The 27943-nt window shown below is 35.7% G+C and overlaps 1 protein-coding gene and 1 long non-coding RNA gene across 19 annotated transcripts in view; one reads left to right on the top strand and one right to left on the bottom strand.

Moving 5' to 3' along the window:
- Nucleotides 1-12431, bottom strand: part of SCN1A-AS1 (SCN1A and SCN9A antisense RNA 1) — a 220254-nt gene extending 207823 nt beyond the window's left edge. Inside the window, exons 1-2 of the long non-coding RNA NR_110260.1 lie at nt 12284-12431; nt 1299-1409 (exon numbers count right to left, since the gene is read on the bottom strand). This is a non-coding gene — a long non-coding RNA (SCN1A and SCN9A antisense RNA 1). The remainder of the gene's footprint in view (nt 1-1298; nt 1410-12283) is intronic.
- The window catches only part of SCN1A (sodium voltage-gated channel alpha subunit 1), a 164521-nt gene that overhangs the window by 55200 nt on the left and 81378 nt on the right, over nt 1-27943 (top strand). For 12 of the 18 annotated variants that reach the window (NM_001353958.2, NM_001353950.2, NM_001202435.3 and 9 more), the window contains 2 exons: nt 16161-16252; nt 20292-20604. In NM_001353958.2, the coding sequence (NP_001340887.1) occupies nt 20341-20604 (264 nt within the window). In that variant the 5' untranslated portion in view covers nt 16161-16252; nt 20292-20340. The remainder of the gene's footprint in view (nt 1-16160; nt 16253-20291; nt 20605-27943) is intronic. The other 6 variants (NR_148667.2, NM_001353949.2, NM_001353955.2 and 3 more) reach the window with 1 other exon arrangement.

The raw sequence follows: 27943 nt of genomic DNA, 5'->3' as shown, positions 1-27943 counted from the left end.
CATAAGTGTTTCTAATGAAATATCAGTCTTGCTGCCTGAATTTCTGGTTTTAAAACAAGAGCATTGAACTGTGAAAGATTAGACCCGGATTTAAATCTCAAACTTCCTCCAAACTGTCTGACAATGGTCATCACTTTATTAACTTGTGCTATTTAACTTTGCTGAACCTCCATTTTTTTCTTTTGTTTTAAAACAAAAGTTAAGAACATGTTATGTTCAGTGTTTTTACATTGTGCTTTTGTCAGAACACTTGTATTCAAAACATAAAGGCACATTTAAGCGGGTATAAGTAAAATGGTTTATTTATTATAAGAATTCAGGCCATGCATGGTGGCTCACGCCTGTAATCCCAGCACTTTGGGAGGCCGAGGCGGGTGGATCGTGAGGTCAGGAGGTTGAGACCATCCTAGCTAACACGGTGAAACCCCATCTCTGCTAAAAATAAAAATAAAAAAATTAGCTGGGCGTGGTGGCAGGCAACTGTAGTCCCAGCTACTCAGGAGGTTGAGGCAGGAGAATGGCGTGAACCTGGGAGGTGGAGCTTGCAGTGAGCCCAGATCACGCCACTGCACTCCAGCCTGGGCGACAGAGTGAGACTCCATCTCAAAGGAAAAAAAAAAAGAAGAATTCAACTGAAAATCCCATAGGCCAAAACCCAAGTAAGCCATAAAGAGATTAAACTGGAATGAGAAGTCCAGAAACATATCAACACAGCCTACATTCTTTCTGAATGCTTGCATGGCTACTGTTATTTCTGTTTTTTTTTTCTGCTTTGGCCGATATCCTCTGCTTGGTCATGGCCAGACATAGCTTCCTCATCCTCAACTCTAGGTCATGCAGTGCATCTTCTCATAACATTCTGACTCACTCACTCTTACTTCATTTAAACATCACCCAGAAAGCAAATTCTATTGTTTCAGTTAAGCCTATAGATGAGTGCCCCGTGATCAGCGTCCTCATAAAACCTACCAAGCTGTGGCCATGGGAAAGGGGTGAAAGAGTCACATGGTATAAACATAGTTTATACTTTCAGTATGGGTTACATGGAGGACAATTTCAAAAAAGGAGTGAGGGCTGAGTTGGCACCTATCATGTGTTATTATAAAAATTATTCCCATTTTATAAATGATAGAATTGAAGCTAAGCAAGGCCAAGGTACTATTTTAATATCACAGTTTTGTTAAGGACTACAACCAAATTTTGAACCTGACTATTCTTATTCTAAGTTTAATGATCTTATCACAAAACTTACCTGGTTGAGAAAATAAATCTCCATGTAAGAAATGATTTTTTCCTACCTGAGCATGGTGGCTCATGCCTTTAATCCCAGTGACTCCCGATGCTGAGGCAGAAGGATCACTTGAGGCCAGGAGTTCAAGACTAGCCTAGGCAACATAGCGAGACCTCATCTGTACGAAACAATTAAAAATAAACCCAAAAGATATGACCTGTTCTAACATTTAAATTAATTGAATTATGGATGCATCTTTAATCAACAAACCAATACCTGCATGAATCGACTCAGTCCCTTAGGTACCAAAAGCTTGCTTTTTTATATTTGTAATGGATGCTTTTCCTAGACCATTCTCTAAAACAGTGTTTCTCAAAATTTGCCCATTCATTAACTATGAGTGCTACATCCTGATCACCTGGACAAGCAGTTTAAACACAGATTCTAGGTCCACCTTAGATCTCTGAAACAAAATCTTGAGGTGGGACCTTGGACTATGTGTTTTCAAAAAGATCTCCACATGATTTTTATGAATGCAATGGTCTATATTTTCAAAGTGTAGTCTCTACTAGATAAACAGAAAGCAATATGCCATATTATTTAAGTTCTCCACAAAGACGCCTTCGCTTAATTAAAATTTGGTATTACATTCTTGGATTTTAAAGAAAAAAATATTATCTGAATGAAGCTCTAAACAGTTGTTTTATGGCTACATGTTTTAGTTTCCTTAGTTTGATGATAACACTTGTGTTAGAATGAGATGGGTGGGAAGGACAGTGACATTTGCCCTTCCTATAGCCCGTGCACTGAGCAGGTGACCTAGGATAAGGCATTGATCATGAATTCAGTTATTCATTCATTCAAAAAAAAATTACTGAGCACACTGTGGCAAACATTTTGGTTTCTTCAATATGTTGCATAGAATGATTATGCATACAATTCTAGTGGCGTGGGGAAAGAAACATTAAGCACAAGACGTTTAGTTGATTTCATTATTGCACTAAAGTATTTGCCTTTTTCAAGGCTGAAGTTGACTTCTCTGCCTTCCTGAGCCATAGGGAAAAGGGTCTTGTCTTGCTTATGCAGCCAGCAAGATGTATCGGTTTAAGAAAAGTGCTGAGTAATGCCTGCAAATATAGCAGGCAGTCAGCCTCTTCTCTGCAGCTTGGTTCATGTCCTTTACCCATGCTATTTAACCCCTGATGTTTTTATATCCCTATTTCTAAACTCAAAATGAACCTCAAACTGAATAAGGCATACAATAAATGTATCCATATTTTCTTTATTCAATTCAGTAGCATCTAAATCCCTCTTGTGAGGACCCTCTGCTTTGGTCATTAGATAGTTAAAAAGATTTAAAATTGCTATATGTCTAGTTTCTAAAAATTGCTAAATGATTTTCTAAGGTAAACACCTTTCCGTGTATCCAGTGCTTAACAGAATTAATGTTATGTGAGTTTTCAAAAAAAAGAAAGGAAAAAAAGGAAATCTCTTTTTTGTCTCAGCCGACAGCAAGCAGTGCTGCTCCGGAAAGAAATGATTTTATTTCTAGCCTCTCTGCAGCATCTCCCTACCGCATTAGTATGTTGCTGCAAAGCTATCCATTGTGTAACTTTCCCCATCAGTCAGTCAGCTGTGTAGTTCTCTTTCCTATGAAATCGTTATGCCACAGGAGACAAAAATAAAAATACAATGCAGGTTAGTTCATTATATCCTGACATCTGTTTCATGCAGATTGTGATGCAATAAAATATTAGTAATTTAAACAGAATGTAATTGTGGTTTGAAATCACTTGGGTAAATCGTGTTATTTTAAAACAAATCTTAGGAAAATGAAATTTAAACTTTGCACTATTTGATTAGGATTAACAAACAAGAATATGAATAAACCAATAGATATAAAATATTAGACTTTAGTACTTAGAATATGTTTTAAGAGTTTGCTTCTAGTATAAGTTTTAATTAACAATTATTCATTAGCTGAAAATTTTTGAGGACCTATTAAGTACCTATCACTCTTCTGGGTACCATGGGAGGTGAAAAGGGGGTTTAAAGTTTGTGGCGAATGTATAGTAGTTACATTTTATGAGAAAATGTCTCATACCTAGTGACTGGTAAAGACAATAAAGGCTGTAGACCCTGGTGACTAGTGAAGAACCTATGGCCTGGCTTCTGCTTAAAGAGAGCTCAATGTTGCAAAATTCCTATTTGCCCTTTCACTTTTGCTAGAAGTGTATTGCATCACTTGTAAGATTAAAGGGAAAATATACTTATTTTGTTTCCCAAAAGTTTATAGGTTTCTGACTTTCACAAATGCTTAAGAGTACTCTTCTCTTTGTTGTTATGGCTGTCCACGTGTAGCAGTTTCATCTTTAGAAGTTTAAATTCTTTTCTCTTTCTTGCTGGATACAATGGCTCATGCCTGTCATCCCAGCAATTTGGGAGGCTGAGGCAAGAGGATCACTTGAGGCCAGGAGTTCAAGACCACCTGGGCAACATAGAGAGATACTGCCTGTACGAAAGTTTAAAAATCAGCTGGGCATGCTGGTATGCATCCCAGCTACTCAGGAGCCTGAGGTGTGAGTATCACTCGGGGCCAGAAGTTTGAGGCTACAGTGAGCCATGATCTCATCACTGCACTCCAGCCTGTGTGACAGGGCAATACCCTATATCAAAAAAAAAAAAAAAAAAAAAAAAAAAAGGAAAGAAGGAAGGAAGGAAGGAAGATAATTTCTTTGGTTTGTATAGGACCTACGGAGTTAAAGCGAAGTGATAAAATAAAGGAGGAGTCCTTAATGTGCAAAGATGCACTACTCATATATTTGAGGATAATCTTACATCAATACTTTTAATAATGAAAGAAATGTGAAAATATGCTTGCCACTGGTTTTAACATTTACCATCATCCATGTTTGAAAAATAAAACCCAACACTGGTTCCTCTCATGAGTATTTAATTGTTCAAGAAAAATCCTAGAATGAGTGAGTTTTTTCTGTCAGTACCACCTTACACTCTCTACCCCCATTCCATCTTTTTATATAGTCTCTTCCTGGCACATTGATAATTCATTCCATCAGAAAATCCCCACTAAAAGTAATTCATCCATATGTATTCTTCCACTGAAATTAACAGGTCCCAGCCAGCCCCATCCCCTACCTAGTCAACCAAAAAAAGAACTCTTACGCCCTCTCTCTGATTGATTAACCCACTTTGACAGTGAGAAATGCATTTTACATTGAGAAGTAAGTAGTCTCATTGATGCATAAACGACTCATGTACTCCCAGAGATACTTGTCTTTTAAAAGGAAGCGCTTGCTAACTGAACTGAAAATGCTAATTAATTGAATTTCAGGAAGCAGGAAAATAATTTTTTTAGCAGAGAAGACTTTCTTCATATATAGGGCTGCTACATTTGGAAACTAAACATACAAACTGTCCAGTTATATTTGACTTTCAGATAAACAATGAATAATGTTTACTAGCAGTGGGCCCCAAATATAGACAATGAGAACACATGGACACAGGGAAGGGAATATCACACACTGGGGCCTATCGAGGGGTGGGGGCCTAGGGGAGGGATAGGAGAAATACTCAATGTAGATGACAGGTTGATGGGTGCAGCAAACCACCAAGGCACGTGTATACCTATGTAACAAACCTGCAAGTTCTGCACGTGTATCCCAGAACTTAAAGTATAGTAAATATAAAACAAATTGTATGAGGTATGCTTATGCTTTAAGAAATCAGTTATCTGAAATTCAAATTTAACTGTGTGGCATGTATTTTTTCTGGCAACCCTGTTCAGATATCTTAAATCATTATGGTGGTTACTCATATCCTCCATGTCATAATGCTGACCTTGGGTCTCCCTACTTCCAATCTGCCAGTCCAGCCCCTTTGGACATCACTGTTTCCTTTACGCAACACTCTACCTAGAGAACAACAACAGTTGTCGCAACAAATCAAGTACTCTTCTAGGCCAACTTGGTAACATTCTAAAACAATAATGCCCTACCTAGCCCACGGGCTTTGGGACTTTACTGGGGGTGAATGTAGGGTAGCAGGTGAGATATATTTGGGAATTTAAACAAAAGAAAATATAATTTGAGCATAGGCTTTAGCTGACTGTAATAATAGTATTTAAATTATTTATAAGGTTTTAACAAAGCATATAATTGAACAATTTCAGCTGCCACCTGCTATTGAGGATAACAAAAAGGAAAATTTTCTCAGCACTTAAGAAATGTTAGAAAACATATTGATATGAAAGAGTAGAAATGAATCCAAAAAAGCATGCATTTTTTTCTTTAGCAATTTTTGTTTTAACTATATCTTTTTCCAGTTCTTCATCATTGACACCTGAAAATAGGCATTGGCACCACAAAAATGGTTAGATGGAGAGAATGCAGGACATGCATTGAACTTTATATTCCATTGTCTTACATGTTTATCAACATTCACTTTGATGTACCAAAACTATCTTTAAATGAGATGCACATTTTAATGTACATCTAGATTAGAGAAAAATCACTCTGGTCTGATAACTTTATGGGATTGTGAATACAAGTGATGTGATGGGTGGTTGACCAATTATTTTAAAAATGGTTTAGTGACAATTCAAGATTGTGTTGTAGCTCATACCCTTACACACACACACACACACACACACACACAAACACACAGATTGTGGGATTGACAGAGATGTTCAGTTTTCAAAGTCAATGTTTCAGTGTTCAACCTCCATTTTCTTCTACTCTGGGACTTAAAAAAATGAATCTGTTAAAATCAGGAATACCTAAATTTCCAAGTAAAGATCCAAGAAGACTAAAGCCTAAAGTCTATTTCATAAAGGAGCTTCTAAAATCAATTTGGTTACTTTGCAGGATTCTCAATATTATTATTCTCTATTTGCCAACTTCATAGTCTCCACATCTCTAACCAGTGCCTTGCACATTGTCTATATTCAATAAATATTAAAGAAATGAACAAAATTGACTGTATAGACCATGTTTCTTAGTCCATTTAGTATTGCTATAAAAGAATATCTGAGGCTGGGTAATTTTTTTTTTTAAAAAGAGGTTTACTTGACTTATGGTTCTTCAGACTGTACAAGAAGCATGGCACCAGAATCAGCTTCTATTGAGGGCCTCAGGTGACTTCCCCTCATGACAGAAGGCAAGGGCAGCCTGTGTGGGGTAGAGACCACATGGCCAGAGAGGAAACAAGAGACAGGGTGGGGTGCCAGGCTTTTTTTCTGAGATGGAGTTTTGCTCTTGTTGCCCAGGCTAGAGTGCAATGGCATGCTCTTGGCTCACCGCAACCTCTCCCTCCCAGCTTCCCAGGTTCAAGCGATTCTCCTGCCTCATCCTCCCAAGTAGCTGGGATTATAGGCATGCACCACCATGCCCAGCTAATTTTGTGTTTTTAGTAGAGACAGGGTTTCTCCACGTTGGTTAGCCTGGTCTCAAACTCCCAACCTCAGGTGATCCACCCACCTCAGCCTCCCAAAGTCCTGGGATTACAGGTGTGAGCCACCGTGCCAGGCTGCTCTTTTTTTTTTTTTTTCAACCAGTTCTCATGAGAACTAACAGAGCAAGGACTCACTCGTTACAGTGAGAATGAGGCAAAAACCATTCATGAGGGATCCACCCATGACCCAAACACTTCCCATTAGGCCCCACCTCCAACATTAGGAATCAAATTTCAACATGAGATTTGATGGCGACAAACCATATCCAAAGTATAGCACCAAGTATCATACACCTAGACAGAAATAGACTTGGCTCAATGTCACATCTGCTGTGACAGATGTGCTGGACATCTGGTAGTGTCCACTCTATACAAATCTGTGATAATCATCAGCTGCTGAGCTCTCAAACAAGACGAAACTGTATAATAATCCCTAGAGGGTCTCTTTAACCCAGACCAGTATACCACAAAAGGAATATAGTGAGAATGACTGAATTCACATGACAGACTGAAAGCAAACTTAAGTAGACGTTTATATGATTATCACCTGAAGAATGATGAGGTTCATAAATTTGGAAAGGAGAGCTTTATTTCTTATAAAGGGCTGCAGCCTGCAGAGTGACCTTCTGACAGGTTGGGAAGCATAACTTCCAGCCAGAAGCCAGAAACAGACACTTCAAGGGAGGGAAAAAGGAAACAGAAATTTATGCTAAGCACGGTGGCCAAATATATATGTTCAATAAGTTATAGGAGGAGTCATGAATATTTATGAGAGGAGAAGCATGCACATCCTCAACTGAGCTTCATGCCCCTTTGTGGGATCCATGTGGAAAAAATGGCGACATTAGCATGATCCGAGGGTAGAGTTTTCGGCCCTCTGACATTAAAAGGTGAAGCAGAGGACACAAAAATCCTTACTGCACATTCTCAGTGGAATGGCTAGAATCATTCCCTAGTGGGTGGTCTCTTATGAGGCACCAATGGAGGGAAAGTGTCAGGTGGTTGGTCCATGTCAGTGGGGGAGTCTTTTGAAAGGGCTGATTTCTGTTTAGCCCTTAGGGAAGAAAGCCTCATAGTGGTTAGTGAGGGAGGGGTTATAAGGAGGTATGTCTGACTCCCTGATCCACCATGGCTGAGAATTCAGTCTTCAAGGTTACTCTGGGATCCTTTTGGCCAGGAGAAGGTCAATTCAGTCAGGGGGCTTAGAATTTTATTTTCAGTTTACATGATAAATTAAGCATAATTTTATATCATAAATGATAAATAACATACAGAAAATTTAATATACTGAGTTTCTGAATCAGGAAATTATCTCTGCCTTTCATCTTTCAAGACCTATTTTCTGTAAGTTCTTTCAGCTTTCTCTATACCAAAATGGTTCTTCTCTGAACAATAATCCATAGTAACCATTGCAGATAATATGCCTTTGCTTAGACTTGTTCTATGTCTAGATTTTATATATACAGAATCTGAACCAAATGAATTCTGCAGCTCTGATACTTCTAGTCTCAATTTTTCATAACTCAGGGAGGTTCCATTTGTCTTCAGGTTATTTGGAAAAGTGAAAGTGTCAAACACCTGATACTCATTCCCCAGGGTAGTTAATTTGTGCTCAACACTCTCCTCTCCCCGTTCCTGGATCTGTTTCTCTTTCCCCTGCAGTTTTTCTCTGCTTCAGCCCCGCTGCCCGTGGGTTCTATGCTGTATCTCTCCATACAGCAACTATGCCTGGACAGTTTTGCTTTGTGTTGAGGTGGTTTCATAAGAATGCTTTTGAGCAGAAGAGTATTTTTAAATTGAGTTTATGCTAAAGAGAAACCCCTCTGAGCAGAATTCCACACAGAATTCTGCAGGATATTTCCTGCATAACACCATAAACATCCTTCTGGCTGCAGCAGCTCAAGTATTTCTGTTGAACCATTTCACACCCTGAGCTAACTAACATTCAGAGAATGAAAGGTGAAAGTCTTAAAACATAAATTAAATAACTATGATTTCTTAATAACACTAATGACTAAACATTCCACATAGATCCTACCAAAGGAGGGTATTGTATGTCTCCCAGGAACAGAGTCTAATCATACCATTGTTGTGCTGGAACACCATTGAGTCCAATAGGGATGGCATCATGGCCAAGAGACTAAAGAAGAGACTTGAAGCCAGCAAGGGAGACATAGGATTTATCTAGGACTCATATACAGGGGTGGTCCAGTGGCAGTGGGCTGGATGGGAGAACCACTAATGTTTGTAAAAAGCATGCAGTTTATATAGCATTTTCACTTAGCACTCTCCACCTAGCAACATTCATTTAATCCAAACAAAGGGCTTCATCCACTGTATGGCCCACATTCTGAGGAATGGACCAGGCTTTGGAAATCCTTAATAATAAGGAGCAAATTTCCAGGTTGGCCACTTCCAGCCAGATTTCTTACCTCAGACTTCCAAACACACATTCTTTTTAGACCACAGAGTCATTCTCAGGGTACCCTTAAATTATTGCTGTCAGGTGCGTCTGCCATACAACCATGAGTCCTGAAAGGATTTGCACACTGAAAACACTGCATTATTTTACCAAAATGGTTATCAAAGTAGATATTTCCAAAGAAGGAATGTAAGCATCCTTCCTCCCAACCCCCAACCAGCATTTTGTGTTAAAATGCTAGTGTTGGCATCTTTTTCCTTCAAAGGGAATTGTACCAAGCCTGATTTTTTCTCCCATTATTGCCCCACAGCAATAAAAAGACAATTGCTGACTCAGGCACTATTTCCTCTGGCTGCTACTTATAGCTACATAACTCCTGGCTTTACCAGCACCATAGGCAAAAATGACCTGCATTGTCTGAGAGAGCAGCAAGAAGAATGGCATTCATTCTGTCTCCATCTTTGTGGGTTTACATTAAGTTACTTCTAGACCATGGTTTTTGAATGAAATAGAATGGACTTGAAGTGTCTACAAAGGAGAGGCACAGTCCAGAGTGGGAAGGGGTGGGGAGAGGACAGCAACGGAAGTGAGATGGAGGCTGAGCAAAAAAAAAAAAAAAAAGAAAATTGAGAATAAAGGAGAGCTGGGAGAGAAAAGATGAACATCGAGAAAGGGGAAGATGAATAGACTGGCCATTAGGCTTTCTCTTCGAGTAATCCACTTTGTGCAAAACCTGCCATATACAACTTGGATATAGGCAGTGCCTCTCTCATTGCTAGCTAAACAGCCCTGGGAGGCCCACACTGGGCTTTAAGTGCCTATCACCTCACACTTGGTATCTCAAAATCTGCAACCACAATCACAGTCACGAGGATTAGACTTCACTCTCTACATCCTCCCAAATCTCTGTCGAGTGACCACTCACCCACACAATAAGATTACTTATTTTCTAACAGGAAAACTTTACTAAAAGAGGTTAACTTAAATAATTTACTTACAATGACAGTCATTACTATATTCTTGATATAAACTAATGACATTTGTTCAAAGGAATTCCCTTAAATTATTCTGACTATGATCGTCTAGAAGAGATCCTAAATTTCACATGATTTATTATGTGAACTATCCATGGTCTTACTCTTTAATGACAATCTTCTCTGTAAGGAAAAAAATGAAATTAATCATCCTAATGATACTGATGTGTTTCATGAGAAAACTACAGGCAGAGCCTAATAAACTATGGCAGATCTGAATCTCAGGCAAAAACTATGTACTGTATTTCTATGTATTGTATGTAGATTGAATGAATTTTTTGCCTGAGATCTGAATCTCAGGCAAAAACTATGTATTGTATTTCTATGTATTGTATGTAGATTGAATGAATTTTTTACTTCTTAGTTTATTATTAGGGTGTCTTGAAAAACACCCCTGGAGTATACAAATGTAGATACAGACATATGTTAGATATCTGACCTTATTTTAACTGCAGTTTGCATAAGGCATGAAAAACTAAGGGTAGATAATGAAGTTATTTTTAAATGTAAAAGTTTTAAACATATGGCTGAAATATGTTGTTTTAGTTAACCCCAACCTACTAAAAATTGGCTTATTGAGAAATCAAATGAAATATTTTTGTAATTATAATTACACCAAATCAAATTATTTCTAGAAAAGAAATTTATAAAACAATACTTTCTAGGTTTGGGATTTCTATGTAAAAACCAATTTCTTTCTTGGCTGCTAAAAAATAGTTATGTGAGATCACAACAGTAAGAATAACATTTTACCTAGTTATTTTTATTATTATTGGCAGTAACATTCTTTTGTAAAGTAGGTGGCAAGAACACTACAAAACGAACTGAAACACTTCACAAATTGTCGTGCCCAGATGGTTTATGTCCCCAGAATAGTAATAGCTCTTTACAAGGAGATGGCAAGCATTTTGGCAGAAGTCTTTTTGGTTTCTCTTCAGTATGGATATTAAACTACTTTATAGACAGAATTGAAGATATATAATTTTTCTCCACATCAGATTATATATTATAAGGTGGTGAAGATATATAAATGTTGCACAACTATATTGAACTTTGGAGTTACAGATAAATTATATAAAGTCATCTGCTCAGTTAGTAACTAGAAATAATCCAGTTTAGCAATACATAAAACATAACGGAAGTAAAACATAAATTGACGGTGGAGGTATAGTTCAGCAGGATTAAAACCTGCATCATATGATTCTAAACTTGAATATTACAATCATCTTTTTAAATTTTGGAGTCTCCCATTTTTCAAAATTTTGAAGTCTCCATTTTTGCCAGAATGCTTTATTTACTGTATTTGTTTTGGGTCTGTCCAAGTAATATAAATTCCTTGGAGAGACCTAGATCAATTAGAGTAGATAAATACTATTTTAACACAGCTACTTATATTTTCATATATTTTATTTAGCTTTAAAAGAATATTTCATAACTATTAGGACCTGGCAGACACTGGTTTGGGAGTTAGAAAATAAAAGTTCTGATTTAAGTCCCACCATTAATAAGCTGCGTAACCTGGGACAAATGACATATTTATTTTGAAAGTAGGAAGCACATAAGTTCTAAACAAAGAAATTGCCCATTTTTCTTTGATTCAGTTTGTTTTCTATTAAATGAGAGGAATAGACTAATCTCTGTTTTTTAAATCTTTGCCATTTATTGGTTTTGATTTACTTATCTTTGTCTAATTCTCTTAAAATAACTTACTCAACCTTTCAGAAGTCCAGAGGTCAAGGTAAACTAGGTCTTGTCTGCCTGAAAGCCTGTATTATAGACTAACACTGTTCCACATCAACAACAAAATACTATCACATTAAGTACTATATATATTCTTGTCTGTGAATAAACCATAAGAGCTGCACTTTATATTCAGTTCACTAATCAATTGGTTAGTAATTTTTTTCCCTGTAAATCACTTCTAGGGTCAGATAAGGCAAAAAAATAATAGCAATTATTCTAATAGATCATAACAATAGCATTGGAAACTGGGAGGAGAAAATGAGAGAATTGTCTCACCAGGTTGTAGGGAGAGACGGGGGAGTGAGGAGGGGGAATTTCTTTTAGGCTTTAAAAACAACATAGAATTTAAGGACATTATTGAACCAAAAAATCTCAAGACATTACCTTAGTTATGGTATTTCTTGCATAAATACACAATGGCATCAGAGTGTGAAGTTGTGGATGCTGGGTGTCTCTCGGGGATGGGAAACACTAAATTTCATTCATCTTTCTCAGGTTCTGAACAAAGAAAAAATATTCAGAGGACTAAGACAGATATCACCTTTTTATCTCACAGAAGTTTGTGGAGAGTATAGCTTTGTGTGAAAGCCCAAAAGCCCGTTAACCAAACAGATCTAACCACAGAGGCCCAAGCAGTCACACAGAGCTGCCCTCCAAAGGAAGAAACTACATAATGATTTACTTATAAAAGGCCAGTTTCTTCGGGTACAAAGCATTTATAAGGTTGCCTTTACAGTTAAGACTTCTGTGTGAAATGCCACAGGGAAAATGAAATACTTCATTGTGAGCTATCGTACATATTTGTTTGACTGGAGAAAAGCAGATGCCCAAGGGAGTTTAACTGTAAGGCTTCATGGGTTAGGATTACTTTAAATAAAGCTCCTCCATCTGCACTTTGAGGGTCACCAAAGCCATATGGTTTACCACTCCCAGTCACCTCAAGTATAAACATCTTTTGGCTGTGATAAATGCCTCCTCAAGTCCAGAACGTAATACATGTGTCCTCTTCTACGGGAAACAGAGATATATAATGCCCAGAAGCAAAAACCTCATCTAGTACTAGAACATTTATGATAAGTAATGAATTAGTAAAGTCTTAGAAATGACACTGAATATTATCAGTATTAACTTTCTGATCTTGTAAAGTCTCCCGAGAAGGTAATCTGTTAATTATAATGCTACAGATTTACCTCCCTCTTTTTCTTTCAGTTAGATATTACCAGATGATATTATATCTTTATTTATTATTTGTATATTCTAACAAATTTTTCCTTATAATTCTTTTGTCCACGTTATTTGATATTGGTCATGTTATTGCTATTACTTTACTATTTCTTTCCACTCAAAATTTCCACTTCATTTTCTTACAATCTTTTTTTTCCCCCATGATCTCTCACTTCCATTTCATGTTCTTTTGGATTATTTTTTTCCTGTCTTCTTTAGGATTGCTTATCTAATTGAATTCCACTTTTAATGTATTTTTCTTGTCTTCCAAAGAATCATTCTTCTTCCAGTTTTCTATTGCCCACTACTCTACTTATTTCCAATATTTTTTAAAATTCCTTCAGATTTGAAGTTTGCTAACATGCACTTTGTTACTTTTTCTTCCTAGCTATGGTTTCTTAGTTCTCTTCTTAATTTTATTTTGTCCAAATGCATAACCATAATCATCTTGAAAAGGCCTCTCTCTTTGAAGTCTTCTCTTGTTAGGAAAGTTTCATTGTCTTACCTCTTTTGAAAGGAGCAAGGTCTCCTCTATGTAACCAAATATTTAAATGCTGGTTTTTATGAAAAGAGAAAGCTGTAAGCCAAAACTGCAGATTCTATGAGGTTACTACCCCGTATCTAGTGACATGTATTTTCATAAATTAGGACAATTAAGTCTTCTGTTATAAATTTTTAGAATAAAGAGGTGAAATCTCCTTTGTAAGTGTAAATGGAAAATTCATGATTTATTTCTGTATTTTAATAGAATAAGTACAGATTTCAAATGTAATTTAGAACAATTTTTCATATTACTAAAAAATATTAATATTGAATGACATCTGACAGTTTTTTAGGTATTTCATAATTAACCTTATGAGATTTTTAATGAGTTTTATTCTTATAATTAATATAACATAATTTATTTTTAGGTAGCATTTGAATAGAAGATCTACTTAGAGTTAAAAAAATACTTTTTCTAGTATCAGTATGATTTCATTATAATATGGGTTATATTGCTTACATATGAATATAATTCCTGTATCTAACTAATTTATAATTATATATAATACGTTTGAACTGATCATATTTGTCAGTGTAGAATTCATGTCTTCTACTTTCTTGGTTGTTTATTTCTCCAGTAAATGATAGCTAGTGACCAGGGAGATTTTCTTTAGAGAGCTTTTCTCAAATGCAGTATTTCTGGAGAATAGGAAGGCTTTTAGTAACTGTTTCTGTCCATTCACACAACTTCATGGACAATAACATCAAGTGTGGCACTCTGAAAGACGGTGATTGTCGTAATGATCACATATGTTAAAATATACCTATATATGATATCTAAACATATACATATTAAGGAAAGTGCTAAAACAGTAAAATGAAAAGGATGAAACCGAATTGATGGAAAAAGACATACTAGATAAGTGCAAATAAGTAGAAATTAAAGTCATTATATGCTATGAGACAAAGTTGTCTTTAAAGGGAAGAAACTACAGTAAGATAAACAAGGGCCATTTAAGGAAGTACAGGGTTCAATTCACTCCAAAGATCTGATCATAAGTGTTATCTACACATCAAACAATACCGCATTGGAATTCATAGAACAAAAATGACAGAAACCACAATAAATAAAAACACATTAAATAGACATTAATTTGCCTCTCCCAACTTGGAACAGTCAAGTAGAAAAAAAATATGTACAGACATAGAAGGTCTACATAAGATAAGAAATAAGATCAATATAATTGAGGCATAATGAACTCTACTGCTTTAAAATAAAGAATAAGTTTCTTTTTAATGTTCTTAGAAAAGTCATTTTAAAAACAACCTCTATTAGGATAAAAATAAATCACAATAAATTCCAAGAAACAGAAATGGTACGAACTACATTATCAGAGCATAGGGTAATAAAACTAAACATAAATTTAAAACTTAGAAGGAAAATCTATCATTTGAAAAATTTAAACACTTTCTTTTAAATAGTTCTTGCATCAGTGAGGACTTTGAAACCAAAATTCATTTTAAGAATTTTCTGGTTATTCTTGTTTGCTTATTTTTCCACATGAAGTCTCAAATAGATTTCTCTAGTTATATGAATTTTGTGATTATTTTTCAAAGGCTGCATTTAATTTATTAATTTAGGGAAAATTAATATCTTTATGATATAGCATTCCTATCTAATAATAGGATATAACTTTCCATCCATTTATATTTACTTTTGGTTTATTCAAAGCTTTTAAAAAATGCTTACATTGTATTTAGAAACATTTCTTCCATTGTACTTTTTCTCTTTGAAATAGACTAGTTTTACAGTAGTTTTAGATTCACAGCAAAATTAAGCCAAAAATATAGAGTTTCCCCTTTCTCTACACACGCAGAGCCTCCCCCAACTATCAATATCTCGCACCAGAGTAGCACATATGTATTACTGTAAAAATAATCTATTTAGAAGAGAAAAAATACAATGGAAGAAAATTAATTTAGGAAAAAAATTAATTTTTTCCCTAAATTAACAAATTAAACGCAGTTCAAATATACCTGTATTGTATATAGGTATATTTTAACATATGTGCTATATTATATGTATTAGAATCAAAGTCCTCTTTGATTCAAGAGCTATTTTAGAGACAGTGTTTAGGTATTGTATATAGTTACAACTGATGAACCCAATTTGATATATCATAATCACCCAAAGTCCATAGTTTACATTATAATTCAATCTTGGTATTGTACATTCTATGGGTTTGCACAAATGTATAATGACATGTGTCCACTATTACAGTGTCATGCAAAGTATTTTCACTGCCCTGGCAATCACTGATCTTTTTATTGTCTCTGTAGTTTTGTCTTTTCCATAATGTCATATAGTTGGAATCATACTGTATGTCCATTTTAGATTGCTTCTTTCAATTAGTAATATGTATTTAAAGTTTCTCCATGTCTTTTCATGGCTTGATAGCTCATTTCCTTTAATGCTGAGTAATATTCCATTGTCTGGATGTACCACAGGTTATTTATCCATTCACCTACTGAAGGACATCTTGGTTGCTTCCAGGTTTGGGCAATTATGAATAAGGCTGCTGTATACATCCGTGTGCAGGATTTTGTGTGGACATAAGTTTTCAACTCCTTTGGTTAAATCCTAAGGTATGCAATTGCTGGATCATATGGTAAGAGTATGTTTGGTTTTTAAGAAACTGCTAAACTGTCTTCCAAGTTGCTGTACCATTTTGCTTGCCCACCAGCAATGAATGTGAGCTTCTATTGCTCCATATCCTCATCAGCATTTAATGTTGTTAGTGTTCTGGACTTCGACCATTCTAATGAGGGTGTAGTGCTATCTTATTGTTTTAATTTGCATTTCACTAATGACATATGATGGATGTGGGGCATCTTCTTCTCATATGCTTATTTGCCATCTGTGTGTCTTCTTTGGTGAAGTGTCTGTTCAGGTCTTTGGCCCATTTTTTATTCAGATTGTTCATTTTCTTATTGTTGAGCTTTAATAATTTTTTGCATGTTTGGGGTAACAGTCCTTTATCAGACATGTCTTTTGCAAATATTTTTCTTAGTATGTGGCTTGCCTTCCTATTCTCTTGATAGTATCTTTCACAGAGCAAAATTTTTCATTTTAATGATATCAGATTGTCAATTCTTTTTTTTCATGGATCGTGCCTTTGGTGTTATATCTAAAAAGTCATCACCTGAGTTCTGGTTCCAAAATGGCAGTGAAGAAGCAAGCTGGCACAATTCCTCCTCACCATCACTCCTAGAAAACCAAAAACAAATATATAGCACTGAGAATATCACCAGAAATATTCCAGAACTCAAATATGAAGATGAGACAGTTCCAAGAAAAACAGAGAACTAAAAAGTTATCAACAAATTTAGTCAACTAGGTTTTCTCCAATATTATCTTCTAGTAGTTTTTTAGTTCTGCATTTTACATTTAGATTTGTGATCCATTTTGAATTATTTTTTGTGAAAGGCATAAGGTCTAGGTTCATTTTTTTTTTTTGCATTTGGATGTCTAGTTATTCCAGCAATACATGTTGAAAAGACTATCTTTTCTTCATTTTATTACCTTGCTTCTTTATTACAGATCAGTTGGCTGTAATTATGTGGGCCTTCTTCCACACTCACTATCCTATTCCATTGATCCACTTATCTATTCTTTTGTCAGTACCACACTGTATTGATTACTGCAGCTTTACAGTAAGTCTTAAAGTTGGGTTAGTGTCAGTCCTCCAACTTTGTTCTTCTTCAACATTGTGTTGGCTCTTTTGGGTTTTTTGCCTTTCCAAATAAACTTCAAAATCAGTTTATCAATATCCACAAATAACTGCTGGGATTTTGACAGAAATTAAATTAAACCTTTAGTTCAAGTTGGGAAGAACTAGTGTCTTTGATATATTGAACACTCCTATTCAAAGACATGGACTGTCTCTGCATTTATTTAGTTGTTCTTTGATCTCTACCTCACTCCATATAGAAAATAAATTCCAAATAGATAAAATATTTAAACTTATAACATTAAACCACCAAAATACTAAAAATACAAGAGGGAAAGGTGATACAGATGCATGTGTGTGTATGTATATATTTTATATCCTTTTTCCTACCCCTTACTGCCCATCTCTCTGGATGCCTTTCTAAGCATTATACAGTATCCAGAAGCCAAAGAAGAATTAGATAATCACCTAACAATTTTAACATTTTTAATTAAATCTTTTAAAATCTGTAGCACAAAGCACCATAAAGTCAAAAAATATACATTTTTAAAAGACCACACATCAAAAAATCAAGTGGCTAATATTTTGTCTTAAAAGATGCTATAGATTGAAAAAAATAGAAGGAAAAAATGGGCTGTTTTTAAATAAGCAGTTGCAGGAAAGAAAATAAAAAATAATTCTTAAGTATAAGAAAAATATATTCCACTTTTCTCATAGTAAGACAAATGCAAATTAAAATTATAATATGCTCTCATCTTTGTCCCTGTCAGATTGGAAATATCAAAAATATGATAACATATTATATTGGTGAGGATAAATAGGCACTCTGTTACATTGCTGTCAGGAGAATAAGTTCATACAAACTCCATAGAAAGTAGTTTTGCAGTAACTATCATAAATAAACATTCTGTACAAAGCCAAGTCTACCTTTAAAAATTAATTTTATAAATATATCCACATATATTTGAAAGTATGTGTGTAAAAATGTATTACTTGCAACTTTATTCAATATTAGCTAAAGATTGGAAACAACCCAAATACTCACATTCAGGGAATTGGTTAAATAAATTATGGCACATAACATGCAATGGAAACCCATGTAGCCAGTAATAGGTACGAGTCAAATCTATAAAAATTAAGATAAATGAACTCTAATATACATTTTAAGTAAAAAATGCTGGTGTAAAACAGTTTGTATAATAAGATTCCATTTGAATATGTATTTTAAAATAGAATATGTATACATACACTCATGTTCTAGCATATACCTATTGAATACCTGGAAATATATATGGGAGATAAGTAGTAGTAGTTGCCTCTAGGAAGGGGAACTGGGCCTGGGGAAACAAGGTAAAAAGGAGATATTATACTGCATTTTCTTTTAGATATTTGCATTTATATCATTTACATATATTTTCTATCAAAAAGCTATTTAAAAATAAAAACTATATATATACATCAGAATATTTTATTTCCCTTTTGAGAAAAGTTACTATATTTGTTATCCCTAAACTTTTATTTGCAAAAAATAAATGTTAGTATTTTCCTGATGCCTTGTAGGGGAACCAGAGTTTGTAGACAGAACATTCAGTTTTCATTGATTTACAGACAACCTATTCTTGCAGGTACTAAATAACTGCAGGTTAAGTTCTAAGAACCGCTGAAAACTTCACTTAGTAGACTAAGGGTACAAATTTAAACTTGAGTCCTCCCTTCTTTTGATCATCCACTCTGAAAAATATGGTTATAAACCTCACAACAATGAGAACCTCCTTGAAATTTGAGGTCTCTGTCCCTCACAAAATAATTATGCCTGCAATTTTCTTATTGTAGTTCATATACACCAAAGCTATAATTAACTGTACCATAGCTTGCTGACCTTAATGAGTTAATGCAGTCTCCAAATAAAATTCATGGCCAAGTGGCAGCTTAGGCTCTGGAATATTTTGGCTCAGTAATATCTGTGAAATCTGAGCTCATATTAAATATGCCTTAAAACAATACATTTGGGATTTGGCGTCTGGCATCAGATCAGGTCTGACTCTGCTGTATGGGGTTGACGGTTTTGCCTCAGGCCTTCATAATATGGTTAGCACTATAGGACTATAGAATCAGCAAGAATTTCATTATTGCTTCAGTGAAGAAAAACACTTAGTTTCTATTGAGTTTATGGCACCCTGACTTCTTTCTGATCATTTTTCTTGAAACAGGAGACTCCTGCTGTCTCCTGCACCTACAGCTATCTTCTTCCACCCCCACCTCCATCTAGCAATTTCTTTACAGCCTAGTTTTCCTCTCCTTCTTACTCACATAAATGACATTTGTCCAACCGTGGACTGTCTTTATCTTTATGTGTTCAAGTAAGCCAACCATGCATGGCTAGTGAAGTGAGCAGGACATAGTTCCAGTTGTCTCAAATCTTAGAAGAGGTTAAAGCCCAGTCAAGACAGCAATAACTATTTGATTGGTCATTAAGGTTGGTCACTGCAAACTATCCTGACTATCTTGGCCAGGAATCACTTGTCAGACCTAGAGGGTTAGATTTTATGTCCTCTCAGAGACAATTCCTTTTCCCCTCATCCTTGTTAAATGAGCTATCCTTTGCCTTTATACGCACAGTCTCCATCTTCTGGGTGTGTCACAGACTGAATAACTCATTAGTGATATAGTGTTAATTAGCCTAATGTACTTTGATTAAGGCCATATTTGAACCACTTTTAAAACTCATGGCACAGTTCCTGTATCAGTAAAGCACAAGAATTAATAAATAAGTGATGCTTAACTAAACTCAACACAGAAACCATTTGTGTTAAAATTTTTTCTTTAGAAATCACCTTTCAATTTAAGGAGAAAACAGACTTTAAATCCTCTAGCTCATGTTTCATGACAAGAATTTATTTATATTAACATCTCTTAGTCCACTCTTTAAAATATCTGTATTCCTTTTATTTTAGGAATTTCATATGCAGAATAAATGGTAATTAAAATGTGCAGGATGACAAGATGGAGCAAACAGTGCTTGTACCACCAGGACCTGACAGCTTCAACTTCTTCACCAGAGAATCTCTTGCGGCTATTGAAAGACGCATTGCAGAAGAAAAGGCAAAGAATCCCAAACCAGACAAAAAAGATGACGACGAAAATGGCCCAAAGCCAAATAGTGACTTGGAAGCTGGAAAGAACCTTCCATTTATTTATGGAGACATTCCTCCAGAGATGGTGTCAGAGCCCCTGGAGGACCTGGACCCCTACTATATCAATAAGAAAGTGAGTGTTTTTTATCAGGCATATTTTGCTGCTAATTGCCTACTGCATTCCTTGGACTGTTGTAGCACCAACACATGCCAAATTAGCACAAAATCTTAAGTATCCTTCTGTTTAAGAAATGAAACACATTTGTGGGTGGTTTATGCATATACATGAGAAATGAATTGATTATATCATAACATATGCAACTGTCCCAAATGCACCATGACAAATAAAAAGAGGCCAGGTGCGGTGGCTCAAGCCTGTAATCCCAGCACTTTGAGGGGCCGAGGCAGGCAGATCACGAGGTTAAGAGATTGAGACCATCCTGGCCAACATGGTGAAACCCCTTCTCTGCTAAAATACAAAAAATTTGCTGGGCGTGGTGGCACACGCATGTAGTCCCAGTCACTCAGGAGGCTGAGGCAGGGGAATCCCTTGTTGAACCCTGGAGGCCGAGGTTGCAGTGAGCCGAGATGACGCCACTACACTCCAGCCTGGAGACAGAGCAAGACTGTGTCAAAAAAAAAAAAAAAAAAAAGAAAGAAGAGAGGGTGGGAGGGAAGGAAGGAAGGAAGGAAGGAAGGAAAGAAAGAGGCAGCTAATTTAACAAATTGACAGATTCTCTCCACAGATTCGATTTACTATACAATTTTTTTGTACTTTCTGTACTTGGAAATACTTGGAAATCTCAAAATCATGAGTTATAAAGACTATACAAAATATTAGTACTAATTTTTCATGCAAACAAATTTGATGCCACAAGGGTTTGCAATTTCAATGTCATGTTATAAACAACAAATCAATTAATTTCCTGAAGAAATTTTGTTACCTGTAAAATAACATTTTTACATAAACTAGAATTTTACAAGTTATTTAATATTTTGGTATTAATGTACTAATATTGGCAAGAATTAACAAAAATGTCATAACCTGAAGAACCTATAAACAATATTTGAATGCGTGCTTTTTTCATATCCATGCTTGAAATGAATCTTATGTTAAGCATCCAACCGTTCATTATGACTGTCATTTCACCAAACCAAAACAAAAAGCATAAAATTTTTTTTAAGATTATTGCATTGATTTTAAATTAAATGTATGACGTTAGGTGATTCGTAACATTTTCTTCTTTATCACTTGACACAATGCATTTGTGAATCTTAGTGGAAAGGTAGGGCACAAAGATTGTAATTAAGTAAATTTTTTTGTTGGACCTGGACCTTAAAATACCCCCTAAACTTTTAGGGACTCTGTTTCTGGCCCAGTTCTGTGTGAAGTTAGTCCTTGCCAAATGCATGCAAAAGTTTGGCATTTGTAATATGTGAATTTGAGGCAGTTTTATAAATCACTTCCGATTGACAGCTACAGTTTCGGAGGAAAGAGCGTCACAAAAGGTTGACTAGCCTTAGGTTCAGATTTTTTTTTAACTTTTCAGGATATAGTCAGTTTAAGTATAACATATTTTCCCTTTTTTTTTTTTCTTTTTGAGACGCAGTCTCGCTCTGTGGCCCAGACTGGAGTGCAGTGGTGCCATCTCGGCTCACTGCAAGCCCCACCTCTCGGGTTCACGCCATTCTCCTGCCTCAGTCTCCCCAGTAGCTGGGACTACAGGCGCCTGCCACCACGCCCGGCTAATTTTCTGTAATTTTAGTAGAGACGGGGTTTCACCATGTTAGCCAGGATGGACTCGATCTCCTGACCTCGTGATCCACCGGCCTCGGCCTCCCAAAGTGCTAGGATTACAGGCGTGAGCCACTGCGCCCGGCCAGTATTTTCCTTTTTTTTTTTTTTTAAACATTATACAACTTTAATGTTACACCATCTACAAATCTAAATTACATTTAAAATTATCAGTTGACAGTGGTACTAGGATTTACTTTAGGAATCACTACATATTTCCCCTTTTTAAAAACTGATCTATTCATTTTACAGTAGAGGAAGGGATGGATCATTTTCCATGTATTTCATTTTCCTCTAACTTTGCTTTTGAACACCATATTGTCAAATCTTAGTTGATAAGAGATTATTAATCTCATAACTGCCATTTAAGTTATGAGAAAAGTTGCACTTTATTATTTAATCAACTCTTTGGAAATTAATGTATCTGAAAAGCCAAAGCCCAAACTAAACAAACTACAAGGACTTTATTTGTATAAGAAAAGTAAAAATGCAGATAATCCAATTGCCTAAACATTTTAATTCGTTTAAAATGACTTCGGTATTGAAGTGAAGACTGATGTGTTCCAGGCAGAAATTCATTCACAGTATAGAGTATGCTACTGTATTTATAGCCATTGGATACTTTTAGTTTATTCAGAGGCTGCTCTTGGGATATGTTAGTGGGCTCCATCCTCAACAGGCCTTTTGCTACCCCCAGACACCGGGTCCTCACCTCTTTGGTAGCAATCACCATCTAAAAATTATTAAAGCCACCCAGCATCTATCCCTTAATCAAACAGGGAAGAAATTTAGTATCTCTGCTCCTATGCTGGGTCCTTATTTGTAAAATAATAAATGAATGTTTTGAGAAAGACCAAACTAATGCATGTTGACAAAGGTAGACATTCTTCATCTGGAAACCAGAACAACCAATCAATCTTTTTTTTCTTTAATTAAAGAGCTTTCAGACTGATAAAAGTGATTGTCTCGAGGGGATGTCCCTAAACAAAATGGTCCATAATTGGTTTATAATGAATTATATATAGCAAAGGATATAAAGACAGATGTAAAACAAAATTGTGCAAACATTTTCAAAATACTCAAAAGAAACATCTTAAAACTGAGGGTGAAAGGCCAACTCTGATGAAGTGACAGCCAGATTCTTGTGTCGAGGAAACCCTTATAAACTTTGTTAGGCTCACGTCTAAACTTGCTCTTAACATCTTCTGTTCTTATCTTCAAATGCACATGGTATGAGGAAAGAAAAGCATTTTGGCATTTTGGAGCAAATCACAGTGTGCAAGTAGAACAACCTGATAAGGGAAATATTGTTATCAGGAAAGAGTTTTCCCCAAGGTAAGGTATACTCATGGCTTTTACATTGAACTGACAGCAAGCAAATCTTCAAATGTAAGTCATTCAACAGCAATGCACACGAAGCTTTTTGCAGGGCTGAAATCCTTAAAAACTAACATGGTGTGCTTAGAACACATGATTGAGTTATGTGTTTGAAATTTCCTTCTTCTGCATTTTTATGTCTTAAGACTTTTATAAGTTGCCTGTACACTTTTTTCTGCCTTTAATTTTCTTTTCTAATTGGATTATTTCAGTATTGAAAAATATCCTTAAATGGAATTAATTTGCTCTGACTAAAGTTGGAATGCTTAGCAAAATCTGAACCTTTTAAAAATAATGAATATTTCTTTCAATATTCGATGACTAATTTTACTTTAGTGACTGGGTTATCTGAGATTGGCTGGGTGATCTTCATTAAAACAATGCGGTACACATACACAGTACTCTTGACACAGCTAAATGGTCAAACAGTGGAAATGTCACCAGGGAAAATGTTTATTAGGACGAGATTTTCCACTAATGCTGATACTGGGGGTGTGGATTAGATTTGCCTGAGTGAAATGGAATATGCAGTTAGACTAGTGATTTCCCTAAAGTTGGACTCTAGTACAATAGTTAATGTGTCATTTGCATCAGTATACAAAGACTCTGGTTTCTTTCTCAACTATATGGAATAGACAAAACAAGCCAATTGTAAAAATATTTGCAGAATCCATTCCTTATGTTATATTTTATGTTAAAGTGCAGTAGTGTACATGCAAGGAATTTATGTGAATAGAAAAAACACAACCACCACACTGAAGCTCTCTGTAATCTTTTACAAAGGCAGTGTCAGTGAGCTTATTAAAATGTCACTGCTGAGAGTATATTTTCCAATGGCATATGCCCACATATTTTTATCCTCTTTGTCCCAGTTTAAGATGTGCAAATTATGTAATGTTCAAATATTCTACTAAAATTGTTAAAGCAGTTTAATCCATGTTCAGTAATATTGTAGTAGTAACTAAAGAAATAGTAGCATCTATGCATCATGAACATTCCTGATGCATAGAAGCATTAGAAGGTTTTTAGATCCTCAGATGTTTTAAGCCTTCAGAGTTCCAGGTTAAAAACTCAGGGGAAAAAAATGCTATCATAATATGGTGACAGTATTTTTCATATCATGTTAGCTCTGACTCAGTGGTCTTTAGAACATGATTCCAGATTGGTTTCCCTTTGTTTGTTTATTTACTTTAGCTGTGTAGCAAGGCACATTTTAGCTTGTGAACACACCTTTTTTTCCCTCACGGGACTTTTTTTCACAGTTTCCTTTCATAGCTTGGGCTGATTTTGTACCATTTGGCCCTACATTCAAATTCTTTACCCACTCTTTATTACAGAAAATGTCTTCCTTCTCATGTTCTTGTTAAAATTACAGACGAATCATTATTACCATGGAAGAAAATATCATTTTAACAATGTGACAGTTTACTGGAAATAGAATGAGACATTTTAGATCTGTAGTAAAAATGGATGTTTGTTAATTATGGAGTGCAGAAATGCATTCATTTTTAAAAAGTCCTATGGATCATTTAAAAGTAACTTATTCTCTCTTGCTATCAACTGTCCTGAAAAGATGCACACTCCCTTTTTCTTGGGCTCCATGAGAAGTCATATATGAATTTGTGATTTCAAATTCATGTTTGGTCTATCACTGCCAAAGGAGTTTTTAGTTGTTAAATTGGGTGGAGAGAGTTTGTTTTGTTTTTAATTGGAATTATGGAGTTTTTCTTGCAAAAGTAATTAACGGGAAATCAGAAAAGAGGATGATTATTAAAAGCTTATAATTTCACGAATTGTCATATGGGCAGTCCCCAGTGTGTAGCTGTTCTTTGCTTATCATCAGCTCCTGTAAAACTAAAAGTCACCCAGACTCTCCCTTACATCCAGGACCCTGTAGTTGACTTCCCAATCTTTCTCTTCCCTATGCACTATTTCTTCCTTGTGCTTCTTTTTCCTTTGTCACCTCCCTGTCTCTGTCTCAGAAACAGTCCCAAGATGGTGATGTTGATCAATAAAATGATGCTTGGCATTTTTAGAGTATCTGCCATATCTATAGGAGATCCTTCAACTGAAAGTTTCCAAAACCCAACAGAAACAACTTTTGGGGAAAAATAAAGGAAATGTGTCTAGTGAATCTGGTTTTAATATCAAAATACCCAGTACCTCAAACAATGTCATGAGGGTACTCCTTTTCCATGGTCAGCTCTGCTGTCACCCATGCTGGCTTCATTTGCAGGCTGGCTCTTCCACAAGATGGCAGAAATAGCCACCAGTGGTGCTAAACTAACATCCTACAGCCTTGTAACTACTATCTTCTGCTAAAACAAGAAAGAAGAAAGAAAAAAGGCCCAGGTTTCCTTCAAAAGCTCTAGCAGTTGTCCTAGAATTGAGTCTAATTAGGTCACATGGCCTCCTCTGAACCACTCACTTTGGCTAGTGGTATGTGATGGTCTCCTTGGTATGGGATGGTCTCTGTCATATACTAACCTGTGTTGCCAAGGGGTGGGTCAGCTCCACCAAGCCACATGGGAAGACAGTGGGGCAGAGATTTACTCCAAAAGGAAGAGAAGAGGAACTGTTAGAAAAGGTGTCCTAAGCAGGCAAAAAAAAAAAAAAAAGCTATGTACTCTACATGCTATATATAATATCAGTATAATTACTGTTCTTTTTTAATCCACAGATTCTTTCAAGATAGCTCTTGTCTTTATTTAAAAATAATAAAACTGAGTTTAAATAACTTGCCTAAGACTAGTTTTAAAACTAGACCAGTGAGTTTCCATGGCCCATTGCCATGTTAGTTTGGATTTGCAGTCATAGCACTAATCACAGCAGTGGAAAAAAAAAAAAGAGAAGTCAGTGATGGAATCTAAATAAGCCTATAGCTGTCCTTCCTGTTTCCTACTCATGCCATTTTGCAAGATGTGATTCTGGTCTCCCAGGCCGGCAGTATTTCCCGAACCCTTACTGGTCATTTCAACACTTGGCCATTTCCTGCCTTTGTAAAACCTTATTTATTTATTATTATTATTCATTTTTATCAACATCACCATCTTGGGACTGTTTCTGAGACAGAGACAGGGAGGTGACAAAGGAAAAACTAAAATCTTAGACACTCAGTGATCTAGATTAGCTTCTAAAATAATTAGAAATTTTTTTTCCCACTAAATTCCAGTAGGGTGATAAGCACCTATTTTCAAAGAGGATCAATTCAGGAAATTTAAATTGTGTGCCTCTATAAGGAAATGGCATTTAAATTGGGATCTGAAGGTTAAAAAGGAGGAGGGAGAGGAGAATCTTCCAAGGAAAGAGAACAGCATAGAATAAGACATATAATCAAGCTGACCTGTAATAGGTAAGAAGAGAATAAGGTGAGGTTGGGGAGGTAGACCTGGGGCTAGATAAAGGGGATCTTTCAGTACATCTTAAAGAGTTTGAAGGTTATCTTCAAAGCAAAATGAATTCCCAACAAGTATTTAGGTACAGCAGTAACATGGTCCACTTTACATTGTTAAAAATCACTCAACTTCTCTATGGAGAAATTTAGGAGTTTTATACTTGATCTAGCATTTTGACAATGGAGATGGAGAATAATGGATAGAGTCAGAATTGGTTTTGGAGGTGTTTAGGTGTCAGACAGAAGGAAGCTGATGGCCTCATTTTCTTAGATAGGAAGTTTGAGAAGAAAGATACTGAACCTGAAAATTCCAATACTAAAATTGGCCATGCTTTGGAGAAACAGAAATGTTCTTATATGTGTATATTTAAGAGTTAGAATACAGAGACGCATTTTAAATATTTTAATCCTTATATTTTTATTGACACTTTAGAATTCACTAAGGGCATTGACATGTTTTATTTCACTTTATCCTCAAAATAATCCTAAGATTGGTATTAGTATAATCTTCTCCATTGAGATGGAGAAATTGAGGGGAATAGTTTGCTCATAGTTCTCACACAGCAAGCTTGTAATCAAGCTGGGCTCAAAAGTGTTCTTTCCAGTCAAAGAAAAATTAACTGACCATATAATAGTGTAGCAGACCCATGGTATGTACATTCTGATGATATAGGGCTGAAAAATGTTTCAGCTCCAGATTTTATTCTTTTTCCTTGTTGTTATAATTTCTTCTCTCTGCTGGAGAAGAGGTTGAGGGCTCTGCAGCCTTGGCTGACAAAAGCCTACCTAGGCACTTTCTAGGGAGGCACCTTCTGCAGAGTTATCTCCTCCACTGGCCCCAACCCTCCACCCAGCTAAAGCATAGGAACAAGCAATTTTACAGACTCTTCTCTAGGTACAAATTCT

This window comes from Homo sapiens, chromosome 2 (assembly GCF_000001405.40).
Source record: "Homo sapiens chromosome 2, GRCh38.p14 Primary Assembly".
Lineage (NCBI taxonomy): Eukaryota > Metazoa > Chordata > Mammalia > Primates > Hominidae > Homo > Homo sapiens.
This window is presented reverse-complemented; position numbering and strand designations above follow the sequence as displayed.